This window comes from Homo sapiens, chromosome 3 (assembly GCF_000001405.40).
Source record: "Homo sapiens chromosome 3, GRCh38.p14 Primary Assembly".
Taxonomy (NCBI): Eukaryota; Metazoa; Chordata; class Mammalia; order Primates; family Hominidae; genus Homo; species Homo sapiens.
This window is the reverse complement of record NC_000003.12, coordinates 117,690,926-117,712,919: the sequence shown is the minus strand read 5'-3', so window position 1 is coordinate 117,712,919 and position 21,994 is coordinate 117,690,926. Positions and strand designations below refer to the sequence as shown.

The window sequence follows — 21,994 nt, the reverse complement described above, 5'->3', positions numbered from 1 at the left end:
CTAAAAGAAAATGTCAATTATCTTCCATTTGGCTGAGGCCTATCCTTCCAAATTTTTTTCTTACCCCTTCTCAAATGCTACATAGAAAAATATTTGTTGTATTCCCCAATGGACATCCATCATCTTTTGGAAGTGAGAACAGTGTTTAGTTTTTATATCCTGAATTAATGATAATTTTAAGTCTTTAAAAAGAAATTATACTGCCTTTAATATCTACCTAGCAATGGTAAGTACTTAATTTTGTTTCTCAGAAGGTAAAATGGGAAGATAGATCAATCACAGAACATAATAAAACATGCGTTAATTTATTTCATGTGGAAAGAAATTATTAATAAAGTTGTCCACAAGAAAAACAGAAAGACAATAAATGAGTAGAGAGGTGATAACAACACCCCTCTTTCGTGTGTATGGCAGTGATAACAGCAGTACTTACCTCATAAAATTGTTCTAAGAATTAAACACAACGCTGTCATGTCAGTGTGAGAGCTTTGGCGGTCACGTGGCTATAATTATCACTGGTTACGTTCTACATGCATTTGAAGGTCTAGGTGCAGAAAAAGAGGAGGCTATTTCAAGTAGAGACATTGCTATCTCTGGGCTTCGGCTCAGGCTAATGTCTCTACTTATATTGGAAGAACTAGTTTAGCATTGCAGAAAGTTAAAAAGAAAAGAGTTCTTAAATTAAGCTTTAAAATTCGATGCAGTATTTATGAACATACTTTTATCTTTTCATATGGTCATGTATCAGGTAGTATGTTTACTGGTTGAGAGAAAAATGCCACCCTAAGGTTTGCTGATACAATGAAGTCATCCAAATTCTATGATTACCTGCCTTGGCCCATGTCTCCATCACTGACAGATGTCATCCTCCTACTTTTCTTAAACTATGAAATTCTAAGTACTTATGGGCTGCTAGAGATTCCTCAGTGTACACAACAGTTTGCTTATTACTTAAAAGTCAGAAAGAGGTAGGTGCTTGGGCCCAAAAACAGACACTTCTTTAAAAGGACCTTCTAGCGATAGGAAGACAGGAATCCCACCCCCTACCTTGGGAAAATGAGCAGTTAGAGAATGTAAAAGAAATTATCTGTTCCATTTATAAAAATTCAAATAAATTGTGTGCATCTAATAATAGCTTATACAATACAGATATGTATTTAAGCATTTTCTATATCTCAGGTGCTGAGGGGAGAATTCTGTATATTAACTGACTTATGTATTAGAACAAACTTATGAAGTAGGTACTATTCTTACTGATGAGATACTGAGGCATAGAGTGATTAAGTATAACTTGCCCAAGATGGAACTTGAATTGGACTCAGCATTCGATCTCACAGTATCTGTTCTTAACCCATACACTTCCTGTTTCTCTGCATTAAAGTAGACTCAGCTCTTGAGGAATTAAATAAGATCTTTGGGTATAAAGGGCCAGGCTTGTGACATTTAGGCTGCCATCCTACTCAGATTTCTCTCAACCTTTCTCAGGAATGACTCAGACAATTCTGAAGGGGGGAAAAATGTGCCCTTTTCCATAGTTAAAAAGTAGATACCAGCCAGGCGCTGTGGGTCACGCCTGTAATCCCAGCACTTTGGGAGGCTGAGGTGGGCGGATTACTTAAGGTCAGGAGTTCAAGACCAGCCTGGCCAACATAGTGAAACCCTGTCTCTACTAAAAATACAAAAATTAGTCGGGTGTGGTGGTGCATGCCTGTAATCCCAGCTGCTCGGGAGGCTGAGGCACGACAATTGCTTGAACCTGGTAGGCGGAGGTTACAGTGAGCTGAGATCGCGCCACTGCACTCCAGCCTGGGCAATAGAGCGGGACTCAGTCTCAAGACTAAAAATAAAATAAGATAAAATAATAAAAACAAAAAAGTAGATACCATTGTTCATTCTGAAATTTAAAGTTTCTCATTGCACCATCTCATTGCATCCCTAGCCTTCCTGAACATTTCCCATCGTGTGCTCAAATAATTTGCAAGAAATGGCCTCTGTGGTTACTACAATTTTGCACTGCACACTCGTTTATCCCTAGATCTGTAGGTAGGTAGGGTTTGCCATCTATATCACTATAACCAAGGTTCATCAATATAATCTAAACTGCTCTTCTCTCTCTCTCTTTCTCTCACTCTCTCTCTTTCTCTCTCTCTTTTTTTTTTGTGCCACAGCCAGTTTATTGTGACCAGCATTTTGTAAGAGCCTATGGCACATCTGCTGTTGAATTTATTTTTATGAGGCTGTCAGCATGGGCTGTGCTATGGTTTGAATATGTCTCCCCAAAAGTGTTTATTGGTAACTTAATCTCCAATGCAACAGTGTTGGGGGTGGGACCTAATGAGAGGTTTTTAGATTATGAGTACTCCACCCCCATGAATGGATTAATGCCTATTATAAAAGGGCTTGAGGCTGTGAGTTCTACTGCTTGCTCTTTCTCACCCTCTTTTTGCTTTTCCACTATGGGATGATGCAGCAAGAAGGCCATCACTAGAAGTGGCCCCTTGATCCTGGACTTCTCAGCTTCTAGAAATGTGAACCAAATAGATGTCATTCATTATAAACTACCCAGTCTGTGGTATTCTGTTATAGCAGCATAAAATGTCGTAAACCAGGCTGTGAAAGAGAAAAGAGAGGCCTGAGAAGCAAACCAAGAGTAGGAAAGGGAAAGGGACCCAGAAAACAGTCTAGGAGTGGAGAAAGGGAGGACGGAGCTTGCGGACGGGGACTGTGTTTCAAATCTGTTCCTACCACACACAAGTTCCAGAGTTTCCACACTGGAACATACAGTTTGGTTAATTCTTAAAGGAAGAAGATTAAGGAAATGAAAGTAGACAGGAAAAGCGGAGTGTGAGAAGCATCAAGCTTGTTGAACTAATACTTTTTTTATGTTTTCTTTATATTTGTGTTTTAATTTACCTGATTTCACACAAGGAACTTAAGTTTAAACTCATCTCTTTTTAAACTACTTTATTGAGTTACGATTGACACATGATAATCTGAACATATTTCATGTATACAACTTAATGAATGTGGTGATAGGTACACACTATGAAACCATCACCACAATCCATGCTATAAATATATCCATTCTCTCCAAAAGTTTTCTCCCACCTCACTTTATTGATTATTAATGTAATCAATAAGATTATAAGAGCACTTATCATAAGACCCACCCTTTCAGCAAATTTTTTAGTTTACAATGCAGTATTGTTACCTATAGACACTATAGATCTCTAAGACTTACTTATCTTGCTTAGCTTAAGCTGTTTTTTCCTTCCCTACATGAGGCCTATTTTCAGATAAAAAGGCTAGTATTCTAAAAGTGTCTTTGAACCTTTTTTTCCTCTGATACAGACTTAATGAGGTGCTGGGGAAAAGTGACTGACCCCAAAGGATTTCCTCCATTATGTCTTGCCTCATTCCAAGTCCTGACACACACCTCTCTCCTCCAGCCTTGGTGAGGTGAGAGCCACTGAGCTTTTCATAACAGCTCCATGTTCAGGATCTTGTTAGCTTAAGGAATTACTTCTAAAGCTTTTCGGTAAATGCCTGAAAAAAAAACCAGCTGCTGTATACAATACCATAGTACAGATTGCTCTTCAACTATGTCCATTCTAACAGGCAAAGAATTATTGAGTGATAGAGAAATTGCCCTTTCACAATTGCTAAGCATTTGCTGGTACGTGCAGGGACAAGTGACAATGTGATTATGCATGTGTGGGAAGATAGTTTCTGCCTGGGTTATAAATCATATGGGAAAAATATTATGAAGAAAGGTAAGGTTGCATATAGTGATAATAATAATTCATATTGAAATAAAATTGTGGTAGGAGTACAGTAGTTGTCATGGTGGTAGCTACTACTATATTTTTTTGAGGGTTTACTGGATCCAAGGACTCAGGGTAGGTATTATTCTAATATTACTTTTTGAAATTATAACAACAAGGAAATTGAGAATCAAAAAATTCAAATAACTTGCCTTAGTTCATTCAGTCTTTTAATTAGCAAGCCAAAGATTTACATCAGATATGTCTGATACCAAAATCCATTTCCTCTCTCTTCCCTCCCCAACCCCTAGACTCTACAGGGCTTACCTCAAAGTCTTAATAGCACACAAACAGGAAAGGGGTGACTCAACTGATATTTAGAGAATGTGTGTCATCAAATGTCTTACCTACTAGCTGGGTGAAACATAATCATTCCTTGTCCAGAGTTTTACAAATTTGGGAGAGTCTGTCTAACTCTCCCGATTTCGGGCTGCTGTTGTTTGGAAAGAGGTACGTCCTGCAATGGTGCATAGATACAACTTGAAAATAACATGGCTGGTAAACTTGTTCACAGTGAAAACAGGCACAATGATTTCCTACTTAAAACAAACAAAACTTTGCCTCAATTCTTTTAACATTGTTTGTAGTCCTCAGCGGGAAGTAAAGTTTAATTCCCATTAAAATAAGGAAATGTTCAACCTTCCACTGGTTTATATTTCTCATCATCATAAAGTAGGGAATAAGGGTAGGAGGAACACCTGCAAACAATAACAGCTTAGTCCTTTACTGGTCTTTCCCAAACTGTAACATTGCACCAATCTGTGATACCTCACAGCTGATATTTCAACTTAGATATTTTTAACACTTTAAATTTAATATGAAACTTGGAAATTATTGTTTTATTTTTAATAGTTTTTCAAATAGTATTCAGATAGCACAACAGAAAATAACATGCTCTGTAAAATTTTCATTAATTTATATATATAAGCTTTCATACCAAATTCTCATCTGTAACTATATTAAAATTAAGTTCAAGTTGATTTTTTATAACTTTATATTTTCATCTGTAGTCTACCAATCACAAACAACCTTTTGGTTTGCAATGGCCCACACAGCGGATTTCTGAAAGAAAACGATGGGCGAAAAGCCTAGTTATATTCATGGCTTGTTAGATCATCTTTAAAAGTACTTGTACATTACAAAAGTGGCAACTATTCATTTGAGGGAGGGTTCTGAACACCTAGCAGAGTAAACACACTTTCCATATTTATTTCTTAAAGGATAATGAGTGTGACAGCAGCAACTGCTCTTCCCAAAGTCTTCCTAGTAAGAAGGCATGAACATTTAGGTTACTGAATTTCTTTTACTGTCTCAAGAAGGGACAGTAAACTCAGTAATTTGGGGAAGTGTTTGTGTGAATAATTCCCATTAGGAAATTAACTTAAATCAGAAAGTCACTTAAAAGGATTACAAGTTAAAATAAAAATGGTTGGAGTATTGTCAATGCATCTAGTTCACCATCCACCCAATTAACTGGATTTGTATCAATTACTCCTTTAGATTGAAAAAAAAAATTTGGAGCAACAAGTAATAAAGGATAAAATATTTAAATCATCTTTACACATGAATCTTGGGGTACTGTATCATGATAGTGGTTGGGCACAAAATGATACCTGCATGAATTCAGTGACAAAAAATTATTAATATCTTGACTAGTAGAAGAGAGTACTCACTGGGACAAACATAAAAAGTAGCAGATGTGAGGAAAGGATGTTAAATACATCCCTCCGAAGGCAGTTATCCAGCTCCCTAAAGTTTTCTTGGAACTCAACTTCCTTTCAGAGCTGCAGCTTCTCTTTTGGTCTTGAATTTCCACGTTTTGTTTGGGCTTCCTAAGAAGTAAGTTTATTGGCTTCACAAGTGGATCTGGCTTTACCCTCTATGAGGTCTGCAGGGGTCAGACTTCTCCATAAGAACTTGAAAAACATAAGTTTCATAGCTTGGGTCAGGGTGGGGACCCAGAAGGAAAAAAAACAAAAAAGCTATATCCACCACATACATCTGACCTTACATCACGTTTAAGAACCACCTCATTTCTATTTAATGAAAGTGACAGACATCAAATAATCAGCACTTTCTCTGAATTCAAGTCAAGGCCAGAATCCCACATGAGAATTTTGACATGAGCACAAAATTCATGTGGAGTTCTTGTTGACATACCAATCCCCAGGGTCCTACTGAGTAATATGCTTCCAGTGGAAAGTCTTCAGGATTTATATTTTAAGTAAATGCTTCTATTACTGTGTATAATCTAGCACCTTTAGGAAACACTAGGCTAGTGAGACTCTTAACTCCCCTTAACTTCCCCCACCCTCTGCCAGTTTTAATGCAAAACCAACGTCAGAAATGTTCAGACTCCTCCATGTTTTTGACCGAACTGGGAAAAACCCTGAAACCTTGTGAACAGTCTAACATATCTCAAGAAGTTGCAGAAACCTTTAGTATAAATGGCATAAAAGATGTGTAGTCAAAAAATGTTAAAGTTATGAAGGACCTTTGAGAATAATTCTGATGCTTCACGTTGCAGATGGGACTGTTCAGAGGCGTGAAATGTGCTATCTTGGGTCATGAATTTGTCAGGGGCAGAACTAGAAGTGAGCTCTCTGGACTGCAACCCATCACTTTTCCATGTGGTTATTTTACCCAACCCAGTATTTTTGGTCAGTGTCAATTCACTTTCCCCTTTGCTCTGAAAGGCTATTATGAGTAACCTCATAACAACCAACAGCTGCTTTCTCTAAGCAGCATTTGAATGCAACACTGAATCCCGAGGAGAAAATAGTTGCACAGTGCTTTCAAGTCTTTTCTACACTCTCTCCACCCACATATGTTTACATCTCTCACATTCTTAAGTGAATTACAGTCAAATGCTTCATTACAGAGACTCAGCCAGGAGGACATGCCCTGGGGAGTTTATTCACAGACAAATGTATTATTCACAAGCCTGATCTGATCATACAAAATTTGCACTATAACCACACACCCTGAGGAAATGCCTAAAAACCTAAATGATTATACTTAAAAGAATGGTGTGGATGAAAAGAAAGAAAAGCATATGAGCTAGAAGCGATGGAGCTATTGCCCGTTGGTGTGCAGGAACCTCTCAAAAGAACCTATTCTGAGCCCCTCCCTAATTCCTTACCTCCTCTAAGATACCATTTCCCTCTTTTTATAGAGTCCTCTTTTGACAGTTTTGAAGGGACGATGGAATGATGAATTAAGTAGCATTGGTGAATTATTTTAATGATGGTTTCTATGACAACAGAACAAATACTTTGTGCATACTTTGTGTTTTAAGCAAAGAAGCATTAGGCAAATAATTTTTCTGAATAGTGAATATGGTAAAAAAAAAACAAAAACAAAGACAGCTTATAGTTATTTGGTTACCATCTAATATGAAAGAAGATGTGTACATTAGCACTCCACCTGCAGATAGAAGTTGCTCTACTTAGAAAGTCAAAAACTTCATAGCATCAAAGTTTCCAGCATTCCTTGACTTGAAGAATTTAACCTAAAGTTGTACCTTTAAATTCTTTAGATCCGGACCTCCTTGAGTTCCTCCTGAAGTAGATTGTAACCTAACCTATAACATCTAAACAGAACACTTGATTTCCTGTTTCTTGCATTTCTTACCTCTGCAGGGTTCCAATGGTCCCTGCCTCTAACTGACCAGTTTAAACTGACAAAGCCACTGCATTAATTTTTGCATTGAGTATTGGTCAGCAGAATGCTGTGCAATTGATACTTCTGCTACTTCCAACTCCAGCTCTGCTGAGAGAAACCTATCTATTATTAAAAACCCTATTAGTAGTGGTAAGATTGCACTGCTTTCTCTCGCTATAGCTGCTGAGTGTTATCTAATTGGTTTTTATTACTTCGAAAACCCTGGGAGTGTGAAGCTCAAATGCACATTTGCTAACAGTTCTGTTCTTTCCTCTTGTACTCATTGGAGATGCTTTTAGATCGTTTAGATTTTGTCAGCAGGAAAGAGGGAAAATATTTGAGATCATTTTGGAGAGTACCTGGAAAGGGACTACAGACCTTAAGATTAGTTTAGCTGTGACTCCTCTGGGACTCAATTGCATGAATGCACATCACATGTGTGGCTTTTCCCATTATTATCTGAAGCGCAGGGACTTAGGCTTGCTTCCAGAATTGTGACATTATCAATTTCTCATGTGAATGCTATTGTTCGTTTTGTATAGTCTTGATCTTATTGGCATTTTGATAACTGTAAACTGAGTTCTCTATTACTATTTCTTTTATTTAAATGGAGCAACTTAATGATGAGCTCTTATTCTTATACATGCCATGTACAGAATGTATTTTCCTTGTTTTTGTGAAGTTTGCCCCATACTCCAAGGCTTGACTTATGTATATTCCATTTGATGTCTCATTTAGTTCACCATCTCTTCCTTCTTGACTTCAAAACCAGGCTTCCATGGTTACCTCCTAACTAAACTGGCTTTCTCTGAAATCATATCCAGTGCCTGCGTTCAGCTCTCATTTTTAAAAAACTCTTTACTTTGCCTTTAAAAATATGTTCTTTAGTAACTAATAAAAACAAAACTTTTTGAACACTTACTATGCATCAGATGCTGTTCTAACACTTAAAATGTATAGTTAAGTCACTGAAGTATTTAACTACCTTACTGATTTTTCCTAGTATCCCGTCAGGTGAAGAGTACTATGCTCTCCAATGTATAGATAAGGACATTGAGACAAAAAGACATGAACTCACTTGTCCTAAACTTCCCACTTACTGGAGGTGCTGAGGCTCCATTCTGGAGGGTTTCAGAGGTCCACGAGTCTCCGCTTCCAGCGAAACTCTGTGCTGCTGCTCAGAATTCCCTCTGAGTTGTCATCAGTGATGTCCTTGCCTCCCACCTCTCAGACTAGATTCAACTGAACAAACATCAATTGAGTGCCTGATAGGGGCCAGGACACGGTCTCCTTCTCGGTCTCTTCTTGTCCCCATGCTCATTAATTGTATTCAGAAGAGACAGATGAAAGTAAAAATTATGCAGTGGCTTTTAAGGTCTAGGAGCTTTTTTCTGGACGGGGAGAAGAGCTGTGATGGAAGCACTGAGGAGCAGCACTGTCAGTCCTGCCCTATCTCTTAATCATTAATAATTTCATACGATCCTCTCAATGCACCAGTCTCATCACCATCAATTTTTCAATTATTCCCTTTTCTTTGACCTCCAAATCTAATCAGTTACTAAATGTTACTAATCTCCCCCTTTAAAATTCATCTCCCCAGCCATAACTCTACCCTAGGTCCTAATCACTTCACTTCTGGATTGTAGTGTTGGCATCTAGCACACGTTCTGTCCATTCCAAACCAGTTATCCATGATCATAAGCTCTGGCCCCCAGAGCACTTTGAATCATCTTCTGTAATCCAGGTCAGATACTAACTCCTCTCTGAAGTCCTCCCAATCACTTCACAGACTATAACCCCTCATTCTGCCCCTTTTGGGACCAGTGAAATAGTATTCACACGTTTGTCACCTCACTGCAGTTTAAATTTCTTGTGGCCTGGCCTGTCTGTTATTCTTCTTTTATACATAACATTCAGCAGTATGTCTGGGACACAGTAACCATTTCTATTCATTCTTAGATATGCAAGTGAATGTAGAAACAAATGAATAGATGAATAAATAAATGAAAGAAAAAAATTACTGACTTGGCAGGGACTTTCACTTGCCTACTTTACCAAGTTCACACTTCTCAGCAAGGTCACAAAAGCCCACTGATCTATACTTCCTTCCATTGAGTTTGTCTCTAATACCTGTTGGCTTGGCCCTGGTTTGCCTAATGGAATTCAGTTCTCTTCACATAGAATTTTTTTTTTTTTCCTTTCTATATTAACAGTTCATGGCATTCTCTTTTCTTGGAACATCCTTTCATATACTTCATCATTTTCTTTCGGTACAAAGTCTGCTCCAATTATCTCCAATTCTGCCTCTTACCATTCCCTTATTCACATATGATCCCAATAGACTGATGAAGATCTATTGTTTTCATGGGAGTTTTTTGAAGCTAGGGTTTCCACCAAAGTGTTGGTATGATGTCATTTAGCATATTTGGCATCAGATGTCCAATGACCAGGATTTCAGTTTCAACTCTAATAGGTGACCTGTCTATGAGTCTCAGTATACTCATTTGATAAGTGAAAATTAAAATGACTAGCTACTTCATGCAATTTTTGTAATAATTAAAGGAACCTCTCTATGTAAAAGATGCATTAGCCAAATATCTTGAAAATAATTTTTTCCACTATAAAGTATTACATAAATTTTCTTTGAATTATTGTAACTACTTTTTTAAGACCCAAGAGCAAAAGGCAAACAAAGAAATAAATGTTTGTTATATCATCATTGTATTAATTAACTCTATAGTTCTCATGTCTCTGAAGACTTTATTTTACATATCTCAACTAAATTAACCTTCCCGACAAATAGCCCTTAGTTTATTAACAAAAATACTGTCTATAGAGACACTTTATTATCTCTAAACCTTATAACAATCCTGAATGGTCAAAACCACCATCCCCCATTAACAGTTGAATAAACTGAGGCTCCAACAAGGCAACCAACTTTCACATGGTGACAGGACTAGTAAATTTGGAGTTGGGATATTAACTCAAGGTTATCTCCTACAGAAGTCCACATGCTGTTCACGGTACCAGGATGCTTCCGTGACTGTATTACGTTATTTGTTTGTGTTTCTATAAAGAAATACCTGAGGATGGGTAATTTATAAAGAGGTTTAATTGGCTCAAAATTCTTCAAGCTGTACAAACATGGCACCAACATCTGCTTAGTTTCTGGTGAGAACTTCAAGAAGCTTACAATCATGGCAGAGATGAAGTGGAAGAACAGATGTCACATGGTGGCAGCAGGAGCAAGAGAGAGGTCCCATACTTTTAAACAACCGAATCTCACGTGATAACTGAACAAGAATTCACTTATTTCCAAGGGATGGTGCTGGACCTGCTCCCCTAATCCAATCACCTCCCACCAGGCCCTACCTCCAATATTGGGAATCACATTTCAATATGAGATTTGGAGGGGACAGACATCCAAACTGTATCAGTGAGAGAGGATTATTCCTCATTTTTGCCGATAATCCCATTTTAGAATAAATGTAGCGTCCCTGTAGGTGGCTCACATGATCCGAAAGGAGACAAAGGAATCACATGCCAATCTGGGTGTCTCATGTGGGGCATTGTCCTGTTGGGGTCAGCAGGTTGGCTTCTTGCCATTCAGGAATGATGCCTTTTATAATGAGGAAGTTAGAGAGATAATTATGGAAATTAATTCCTGAACTGCTGTGGCCTGTGAACTCTACCAAGCAGAACTTTGAATATCAAGGGCAGTGCTGCAATGCAGATCAGAAATGAGAAAACCTTACTTTAGCAGTCATAGGGAGTAAACTGAACTGTTTTTATACAATCCCATGTCGTCTTATTTAACGTGTGTGTGTGATTGCATTCATCCTAGCATTCCTGTCACCTGATGCATACAGATGGCCTATTAACCAATTAACTTATTGGACTAAATAGGCTAAATCAAACTAGATGACATCAACTTGCTCTACAAGGATAGGACTAAATTAAGTGTGTTTTAAATGCCAGTGAGAATGATTGGACGATAAAATAAAGAAGAGATGAAAAGAGAAAACAGAATTCAATCCCTAATCTACTCATTTCTTCCCATTCCCAGAAAATGCCTAATCTATTTTAGATTAGAAAATACCCCAGCTTGCAAAAGCTTGTCAGCCCCATATCACATGTTACACTAAGTCAATGTCGAGCTCACGACATGAAGAAATTCAAGCTCAGTGCTGAGAAATGCATTTTCTATGTTTTTAAATATTTTTTGGCCACGATCTGATTTATTTTCAACCAATCCAGATTCTTTCCAGCCCTGTGGTTCAGCTAATATGAAGAGCAATAAGCATATTCCAAATATGGATTCTGAGAAGTCACTTCAGAAACATTCTTCCTGGAATTCTGTGTGATTCAGAAGGAAATGTCCACAAACTATATCCATATAACACTAAAAAATGGAAGAAGAAACAACCACGTACTTCTATTTTCTAATACTGCCAAGGTGCACAACTCCTATAATTTTCAGAGACCCACACTATAATTCACTCTCTGTCCTATGATCTGCCTCTTTTCTCTCTCTCATTAGATTTAATTCAGTAATCACACCCTGCAAGCCATTCAAGCAGAAATACCCTTGCTGATTGCAACTTTCACCAGCTAGTCCATGAATATTGCTGTAATGTGTATATATCTATGTGTATGTGTGTGTCTGCCTGCGAGTGAAAGAGAAACTATTGCCTTCATCAGCAGCTGCCTCCTCTCTGTGTCTTTAGTTTGCTCTCTCTACCTATTACTCTTTTCCCGTTTTGTATACATGGGAGATGTAATTCTATTTCTCCAGAGTGGCACTACCAGTAGATGAATCCTCCTTCCTCACTAGTCATCACTCAGTATGAAATTTTGTTTCCTCTTTTCACTTTTTTCTGTGGTTTTAATTACTTGTCCCTGAACTAAACATAAACCATCTTCCCTTGAATGTTTTAGTGACCCCGTTGTGCTTTTCAACTGAGATTTTACCCTAAGCATTTTCCCCTTTCATTTTAATGTCTGTATATGCTTGCTTTTTGTCCACATTGCTTTTTGAATTTTTCACTTATTCCTCAATTTGTTTTCTGTATGTGATTATCGCTTGATTATACCCAAGTGAACTTATGAACATGGTTTCTTTTTGCTTCCCTTACCTCATGTGTGGCATGTATATATCAATTCCCATTTCCTCTGGGGGAGGTATGAGGAGTAGCAGTTGCCGAATGGTATGAGCATTTTAGTTTAGAAGATGTATCTGTATCTCTTCACTGCCTTGTTTTACATCTTTATGCATGAGCAGCATTACTGAAACCGAGCTAAAGCTTACCAGTCTAAAGCTGCACAGTGCACATCTCGTTAAAAGAAATGGTTTGGGTTCCCAAATGAATATGCAGAATTGATTTGTATGGTGGAGAAGTTAAAGGGTCTAAAGGGCTAAGACTTTGTATTTTTAATAATTTTCCTTTATGCAAGAGCTTAAAGAATTGTTGATTTACATTATAAAGGATCAAATAGAAGCCATAGCATTTTGTACCATCGTATTGAACAATGAGACGAAAGATTCTAAATTTATGTTGTGAAGGAAAAGCAAAACAAGCCACAAATCTCAAAGGTTGTGCCAACGTCATGTGTGGCAAGGGCAGTGCCACTCATTTGACACCCTTTTGCTTTGTACTTCGTGATCCGGCTCTTGTGTGTAGCCTCCAGCTCTGGTCATATCATTCCCTGTTTTCCCTTTCCAATATTCAATTAATGTGTTCTCTTTCTGTAGTTAGAACTGATAACAAAACATGGTGAGAGAGAAGATAGAGAAATGGGAGAGGGGAAAATGTACAGAACACAATGTTCTGGAATGTCCTAGTCACACCTATACTTTTAGTAAGTTTCACTTATTTGCACAAATTTGGTTTGGCATATACTTTTATCTTGCATTGATTTATATATATTTATATGTATTACATATCATGTATGTATATTTTATATATATATTAGTAAGTGAGGGATAAGCAATAGGAGAGATAAGAATAAGTACATGATAATAAACAGAGATCACTTCTTCATTCATTTATTTTAAATTGACAGAAATAATTTGTGTTTTTATCGTGTACAACATAATGTTTTAAAATGTGTATTTGAAATATCTATATACATTGTGAAATGGATAAATTTAGCTAATTCACATGGTTGCTAATTTACATAGTCATCATTTTTGTGACTTCTGCTTAATATCCTCTGTTTTAGTATTTTTCAAGAATATATCACAATGCTGTATAATATATCTCTAGATGAACCATTTCTTCTTAATGAGATAAATTAATTACGTGGACACAAAATCTGTACTATCAAATATCCCTCAAAAATATAGAGAAGAAAAACATACTTTTGTCACTTCTTTATCACTTTTTAGGAGATGGAACCTAAGAAAATAAGAGTGAGGGAAAGGGAAGCTAATATTTTTGAAGCATCTACTATGTATTCAAATACAGAGTTGGCTGCATTCATATAGAATAGTTAATTTAATCCTCTCAATAGCTCTAAAAATAAGTGTTGCTAGCCCTGCTTTTATAGCTACTGAAATTGGGACTCATATAAATTAAGTCCTTTAAGCTGTAAAGGTCCATCACACTAGTAAATGAGAAGAGCAGATTTGATTTCAGATGAATTGACTTTTAAAATATTTCTCTTTTTTTCTTTCTAATTGTTTGAAGAAACTTCTTTTTCTATCTATGAATAAGTGCTTTCTCTATTGATCATCTTAGGCTATCTGTGGGTAAGAATGATATAATATATGATGTGTGATCCTTTGTTTTCTCAGCCGAGGAAATTAATGTAAAATTCTGCTTGTCCAAAACACTGTTTACAGAAGTACAGAGATTTCGTAGCTGAGCAGTTTTCTGATTGTGGATCCTACCTGATTACCTGAGGTTGATTAACAATATTGTGAATTCCGCCCTCGACACAGGGAAGAGGAGCCCTGTGCTGGGTCTCGTATTAATACTACTCTGTCTGATCCTTCCATAGACTCATCACTCCTCATAGATGAATCCAACATCTTAAAGGGGCTCCCACCTGGCACCTACCATCCTTCTTCTAGACTATCACCTGTGCATCCCAGAATTCCCTGCCCTAGAAAGTCCCAGACCCATTTTTCCTAGGTCTGCATTGGCACAAAGACTGACCAAGGAAGGCTTGCATGGGCTGTCCCAGACTCCGCACATGAGAGCAAGGGGCCTCACAAAAGTTTGCAGTATAGAACTGAGGCTGGGACAGATTGAGGAGAGAAATCTGTGGGCGTGGACCAGCGGTCAGAGGCAACTCTTTCATTTCTACCGTCCTCACACACAGAATTTCAAGGAGTTGAAGATTCTAAATTGATACTCAGTCTTCTAGGAGGATGGAATGATATTAAGTGGTACGTAAGGTTCCCCTTGTAATGTTGCCCTGGGCCTCACATATATATAAAAAAGGCCTGAATAGCATACTACTCTGATTTATATTCTACAAAGGAGAAAAGATCTTACCCTGGCACTTTCAACTTTTATTATAATTTTAAATAATGTATTATGATGCTTGTTTCTTCAGCTCTTGTTTATTATAATTGTTTATCATAATTTTAAACAATTTATTATGATGCTTGTCTCTTCCAACCTTGGGGAACAGGAAAGCACAAGGAGCTTTCTGGTTCTGACCTCCTGGAAGCAGGATCCCCTGAACACGGGCATGCCCACGCATATGCCCCCCATTGACAGGCATAGCGGGTAGCTCAGCTCCTCCTCCTGGATTCCATAACCACATGATTGCTTAGGATTGGGCATCTTAGCTTCTTCCTTTATTGATGACCTTTTAAAATGGTGAAAATTAAATACAATGAATGCATAATGGTAAATACAATGTTTGCCACAAGAACACGTTATCTCACAAAGTATAATAGATACCCAATAAATGATAACTTTCCCCCGTCCCCTCCCTTCTGCCAAACCAACACTTTACATTAGCTAGGAAACATGAGTATTCCATACTGGGATCAGTTGATGTTTTTCTCCCAATCTCTCTTCAAGTTCCTTTAGCTCACACAGTTACCACTCTCCACCATGTAATCAACAGAAGATGCTAATGAGGCGTTAGATGCCTTTTTATCAGGTCCCTCACCAATCACCCTAAATACCCAGCTCCACTCAAGAGCTCTGTGCCATCCTGCCTTTTCTTGTCTTCACCCTTTGTTTCACTGTTTAGCTCCCACCCCCAACCCCCATGCACTCTCTTTTCCCGAAGTGCGGTCACTTCATCTCTGTCAGGGAGCTTTTAGTCGGATGAATGGAAAACATTTAATCAAGAGACCTGTCCTGAGTTGGTACAAAATGTCACAGCCCATTTGCTTAAAAAAATAAAAATAAAGTCATCTGCTCTGTTTATCTCTAGCTTTCCACAGACAATGGCAGTTGCTGATTTTAGTCTATTGCAATGAAGTGTGGCTTAGCCTGACCCCCCCTGCTTTTCTCACACATGAATGCAGAACCGAATCCTGAGAGAGCAGCTTTGCCCATTGCTTGAACTAAAGGTGCAGGAGCTTATCTTCCCATAGAGGATTTTCCATTTCTCATTCTCTGCTTCTCATGCTCTTAGCATATAGACGGAAACTTAGATTTGGAATTGTGACTCTTCTTTTTTTCTGCGTTAAATCAGCCTGCAGTGTCTGATACATATACTTGGGTACATTTCAGATTTAAATATGCAATACCTTTGCACAGGGCAAGATGGAAAGAAAAGTATGCCCCGTGGTTCTGGCTGTGTTTTGAAACTAAGATTGAAGGAAGGAGAGTATATTCAGAGGCAAGTATTCTGAAAATACTATTAATAGAGGCATTTCTTTGTTGATTTCTTAAGCAGCCTCTGCATTAACAAGAGTTTTAGTATTGGGATAGCTTAATGAGGTGCTAATGAGGGAAGAAGAACTGAGCCCTCTGTTTAGTCCCTCATACTGCATTGTTTACAAGGGGTCAAAGGTTCTTTGCATATTTCTACATGAGCAAAATAATTGCAGTACTTTCTAATCCCATTTCAACTATCACCCTGCCAACCTGTTTTCAGCGTACACACACACACACACACACTCACACACACACACAGGCACACACACACTCAACTTTATACAAAGTGGACTAGAAGTGGATTACATAAAATAGAAGGAAGCCGATCCCCTCATCTCTATTCATTTTTCCTAGCATTAACTGCTGACTTATTGACAACGTATTTGTGCTCAGCTTGAGTCAGTCAAATATTTCATTCAGAACCGACAGGTTACAATCTACCTATTGGCATCCTGCTGGTATCACATGTGACACACTTGTGATAGCTGCTGCAAGCTGGACATGTTCAAGATGTGCATCTTTGGAAAGGCATTTACCAAAGACTGTTAAACAACTTTACACTTATGAAACAGGGCTTGCTTTAAGCCCAGAACAAAAAAGTTTGAGCAATGTCAGCAGCACTGACAGCACCTTTGGACATGAAGAACAAGGCAGTAACAAAGAATAAGCACACAACCCACCAAATAAAACTCATTTATTTAATCAAAAATATACTATTAGTACTTTACACAATAAAAAAATTTTAATATTAATATGACTTAAAGATACGTTAATTCAATCCAATCATTCAAATTTGTTTCCTGGGTAAGTAAATAATATTCAATAAGTTTGTATTGAGTGTCTACTATGTTTTATTAGGAACTTATTTTGTACCTGGATCTGTGTGATATGCTACCAAATATACTAGGGTAACATTTTAGGTAAGCTAGGACTTTTTTCTACAAAAACAAAACTATGGTAATTTCTTAGTTTGGCATGATTATGGTTTATGAAACACTTTCAGTTGCATTGTTTCAAGATAACTGTGCTAAGGGCCACACAAATACTTCAGTGACTCAGAGGCAGCAATCCCATCCAGTGTGGAAGCATAGAGACTGTTAGGAAGAAGTTGGCAGTCAAGCTTGGCCCACCTTTAAGAAAGAGTAAACGGATGATGAAAATCAGTTCCTCTGGTGGACTTGGAAGCTGTGTTTTATAGGTCTAGAAAAGCCATCTAGATTAAGAAAATTCTGGGTCATTTTCTGAAAGGAGTCTCTAGTTTTATTTAGCTGGAATTTTGATCATGCTGCTTTCAATGCTATGTCATGTAGGGTCTTAAGTGTCAGGTAAAGTAATTAGGATGTAATTGAAAGTAGTGAGTGGCTAATGATGGTTTTTAAGCATAGAATAATAAGATGATAGCTGTATTCTAAAAAGATTAATCTGTCAGCAGTGTGTAAGAAGACCATGTATTTCAGGTACGGGGCAACATGTGTCTCAATTATAGTGATACTAGTGTGGAAAGAATTCTGTTTTACAAATCAGTTCTACAGGCTGTCCTGTCACACCGAATGTGACAATATAGGGAAAGGAAAGCATCCAAGAAGAACAGGAGCTGTACAGTTTAGAATTGAGGACTGAAATAACGAGGGCAAATCCTTGAACAGCAAGAGACATTCAGAGAAGAACATGTGGAGAGGAAGGAGTAAATAGCTTGAGGTATTTGAGGAATGAATGTTGCACCCACGTAAATTTTACAAAAGGCATTCAGAATCATGGATGGAGGTGGTCTAGAGTTGGTATGGAGATAAAGACTTCATGCCTATATTCAAAGATATAATATTCAAATAGGAGAATTGATGAAATCCCTAAGGAAAAGACTACATACAGTGAAAACCAGGGGTATATGACATACATTAAGGGGCACATATATTTGGGAAGTAAAGAAACATAAGGCATTGGTGAAACAATCATAGGGAAGGAGATTATCAAGAGAAAAAAGTCACTTCAAAGGTAAAGCAAGTAACACATACTAAAGAGAGAAAGAATGGGAACCCTCCCCAGACAAGTAACGGGACTAGATTTTAAGGGGCTTTTTGGAGACTTTCAAGTCAGCAGCTTTAGAACAAGTAGAGAATTCAGTCATGTAAGTGATGAGGAATGAACAAGGGAAGAAAGTTGAGGAAGTGTTTGTAGAATATGGATTTAAGAGCCCTTAGATAAGGGAATGGAGAAAGGAGTAATTTTATGAGATTGAGCCAATGGGAGCTCTGTGTGTGTGTGTGTGTGTGTGTGTGTGTGTGTCTGTGTCTGTGTGTGTGTGTCTGTGTATTGTTTGGTTGCTTGTTTTATCTGTTCTGAAATTGGGGCAGGGGAGAGATGGAGAGAGAGAGAAGCTTTGATGGATCAAGATTCCTTAGGAGGCCAGGCGCAGTGGCTCACGCCTGTAATCCCAGCACTTTGGGAGGCCAAGGTGGGTGGATCACGAGGTCAGGAGATCGAGACCATCCTGGCTAACATGGCGAAACCCCGTCTCTACTAAAAATACAAAAAAAAAAAAAAAAATTAGCTGGGTGTGGTGGCGTGTGCCTGTAATCCCAGCGACTCAGGAGGCTGAGGCAAGAGAATCACTTGAACCCGGAAGGAGGAGATTCCGCCTTCCAGAACTGCACTCCAGCCTGGGTGACAGAGAGAGACTCCATCTCAAAAAAATAAAATAAAAATAAATAAATAAATAAATAAATAAATAAATAAATAAATAAATAAGGATTCCTTAGGAAACCAAGGGTTACATTTAACATTCTCAGGGAGGATATTAATTAAATCTGAAAAGAAAATGGGTTTTTATTTTTCATTTTTCAGTAAAGAGAGGTAGATTATTGTAGATTAAAGAGGAATCTAGAGATGGAAAGGAAATGTACTGTTTTTGTTCTTCAAAAGAGCTTTTGATCTAGGAAAAGACCAGGAAGACCATAGGTCCCTACAGAGAAAGGGGTAACAGGGAAGAAAAATAGAAAAAGAGGAGACTTGAGCCTCATGCATATCTTTCCTATTCTTTGATTTTGCCTAGAGTCTTAAATGCTCAACATTTTGTCAGACCTAGTGTTCTTAATTCAGCCAGGGAGATCAATGGGCTATATCACTGCCAACAATCAACATAGCAGGATTGTCCCTGCCCACTTCAGCGGCCATAGCCTCAGACACACAGAGGCACCTTCCCCTAACTCCAACCTTAAAAAATATCATTACTAGTAAAATTAAACAAACTTTAGTGCTTTATTTTAAAATGGAATACACTATACAAATAAAAATACGTAAATATTTGTTTAGAAGGGGAAAAGCGAGAGAAAAAGATGAGAGTGACTTAGCAGGAGGATCTAAAGCAGAAGGGAGGTAAAATGGAGACCATTCCTTCAATCTTCAGGGAAATAATCTTTTTTTTGGCAGAGAGGCCAATGTTTTATTGCTATTGAGTTTTAAGCTAATTGGAGTAGGAATTTTCTCTATTTCTGCCTTAAGTAAAAATAAAAATTGTTGATGGCAGGAATGTCTATGTCTTAATGTAGAAATTTTAGTTGCAAATGTACACCATCAAAGTAAAGCTAGTTTTGACATTCCTGAGGAAAGCTGATGTATTAGTCAGGATTCACGGGAGGAACAGAACCAAAGGAAATATATAGGTCTATAAGAAGGGATGTGTTATGGGAATTGGCTCACACAATTCTGGAGGCTGAGAAATCCCACGATATGCCGTCTGCAAGTTGGAGAACCAGGAAAGCCAGGATGTGATTCAGTCTGAGTAGGAAGGCCTGAGAACCAGAGGAGCCTGTGGTGTAGTTTTCAGTCTGAGGCCGAAGGCCTGAGAGCCAGGAGGGCAGCTAGTGTAAGTCTCAGAGTTCAGAGGACTGATAACTCAGCATTCTGATGTCTTAGGGAAGGAGAAAGTAGTCCCAGCTCCAGCAGAGAGAGCAAAGTTTCCCTTCCTCAGCCTTTTTGTTCTGTCTGAGCCCCTCAAGGGACTGGATCTGAATGATGCTTACCCATCTGAGGGCAGGTCTTTCTTATTCAGCCTGCTGATTCAAATGCTAATCTCTTCTGGAAATACCCTCAAAGACATACCCAGAAATAATCCTTTACCAGCTACCTGGGCATCTCTTTGCCCAGTCAGGTCGACACAAAGTTAACCTTCACAGCTGTAGAAAGCGACATTGACTTATTATAGCCAGAATGGTCTCAGGACTTCCTGAGTGTGTGTGACTAACTAACCCTACAGTTAATGCAAGAACTGCCCCTCATACATGTTAGTTACCTTAACAGCCCCTCATCCAGACCTGTCCAAGCAGCCTTTCTCTGAATACTTGTTTCAAAGGCAGGCTTCTCAAAGATGCAGGAATACCATTTAATCTCTAGGTTGAATAGACAGAATTCAGTTAACATTAGAGTAGTGAATTCAGTTCAAGAAAATACTTAAGCAGTAAATTCCACTGAAATCCTAGGGAAAGTTTGGACATTGCCACTCCAGAGGGGATTAGATTTCACTTGCCTAATTAACTTGAGGATGAAGATATCATCAGCAGCCAAGTTCTAAACAAGTACTTGCTCTTTGATTCAGACCTTTAAAAATTGTATATATACATTTCTTCCCCTCAGCAATCCTTTCTTCAAAACAAGGAGAAGTTTTTTTTAAAGATACTGCATTCCAGGCCTACTTAACGATCTTATCATAGCACTAATTGCTATGTACTAGTAATGTAGCAGCTGAATTTGTTGTTCCCTTCAACTCTGCAGGAAATGTGAAAGTCTGTAAAATAGCTGATGTCTTCAGTAATCATCCACATTCTGGCTAGCACTCAAGTGGACTGGGGAGACCTACTGAGGCAGGCCTATGTTTGAGTAGGATCCCTTTTCCTCTGTCTTGTATCTCAGCCAATTATCAGGAATGAGGACTTGTGCATTAGTTAGTTGTTCTATGTACATCTATTGATAGCTCTCACTGTTGAGGGCTCACAGAGTAATCTCATCTTGGCATTACAACCTCCCACTTCCTTTCTGATAACTTTTGTTTTTTAAACAATTTGCTTTAAAATTGATTCAAATCTTTATGATTAAGGCCACCTTGGTCTTTTATTGGCAGCTGCCCTAGGAATCCAAGAATTGGCCCAAGTAACCATTTGCTAGAAAGGAATAAAAGAGTCCCCTGAGGTGACTTGGGAATCTCAAAACAAATTTATAATTTTGATGTGAGACCAAGAGAACTTATCAACTCAATTAAAATTGCCCTATGATTAGCCTTCCCATAGCCCTCTGAGTGGCCAGGTCCCAGAAAGGTCAAGCAGCCTCAAAGGAGCATTTAATAAATATTTTAGTTCCAAGATAATATACATTGCTGGAAAAGGGAAGAGAGCAAACCAGAGGCAATAAGTATAGCATTCTATTCTCTTTAGTGTCTTGGAATCTTCAACAAAAGTTTGCCTTATTTTGGCTAAGTAGAGAAAATTTATGAGCCAAGCGGGCAATGGACAGCTGTCTATGTATTGTGATTCAATAGAAGGCTGGGCTGGGGCTCCGCCTCTAAAGTTATAATATTTGCCTTCTTACTATGGCATCATCTTTCTATTGGGTTTTGGCTAGTGCACTCAAATTGAGAACACAGCTTCACAGGCAGAACACAACACACAG

At 38.2% G+C, this 21,994-nt stretch overlaps 1 annotated feature.

Moving 5' to 3' along the window:
- Positions 3,700 to 4,899: an enhancer, noted in NCBI's record as "MED14-independent group 3 enhancer chr3:117426868-117428067 (GRCh37/hg19 assembly coordinates)". NCBI's record gives its function as "activates an origin of replication core promoter dependent on BRD2, BRD4, P300/CBP and CDK7 cofactors, and independent of MED14, by STARR-seq in HCT116 cells {active_cell/tissue: HCT116}" and the evidence as "EXISTENCE:reporter gene assay evidence [ECO:0000049][PMID:35650434]".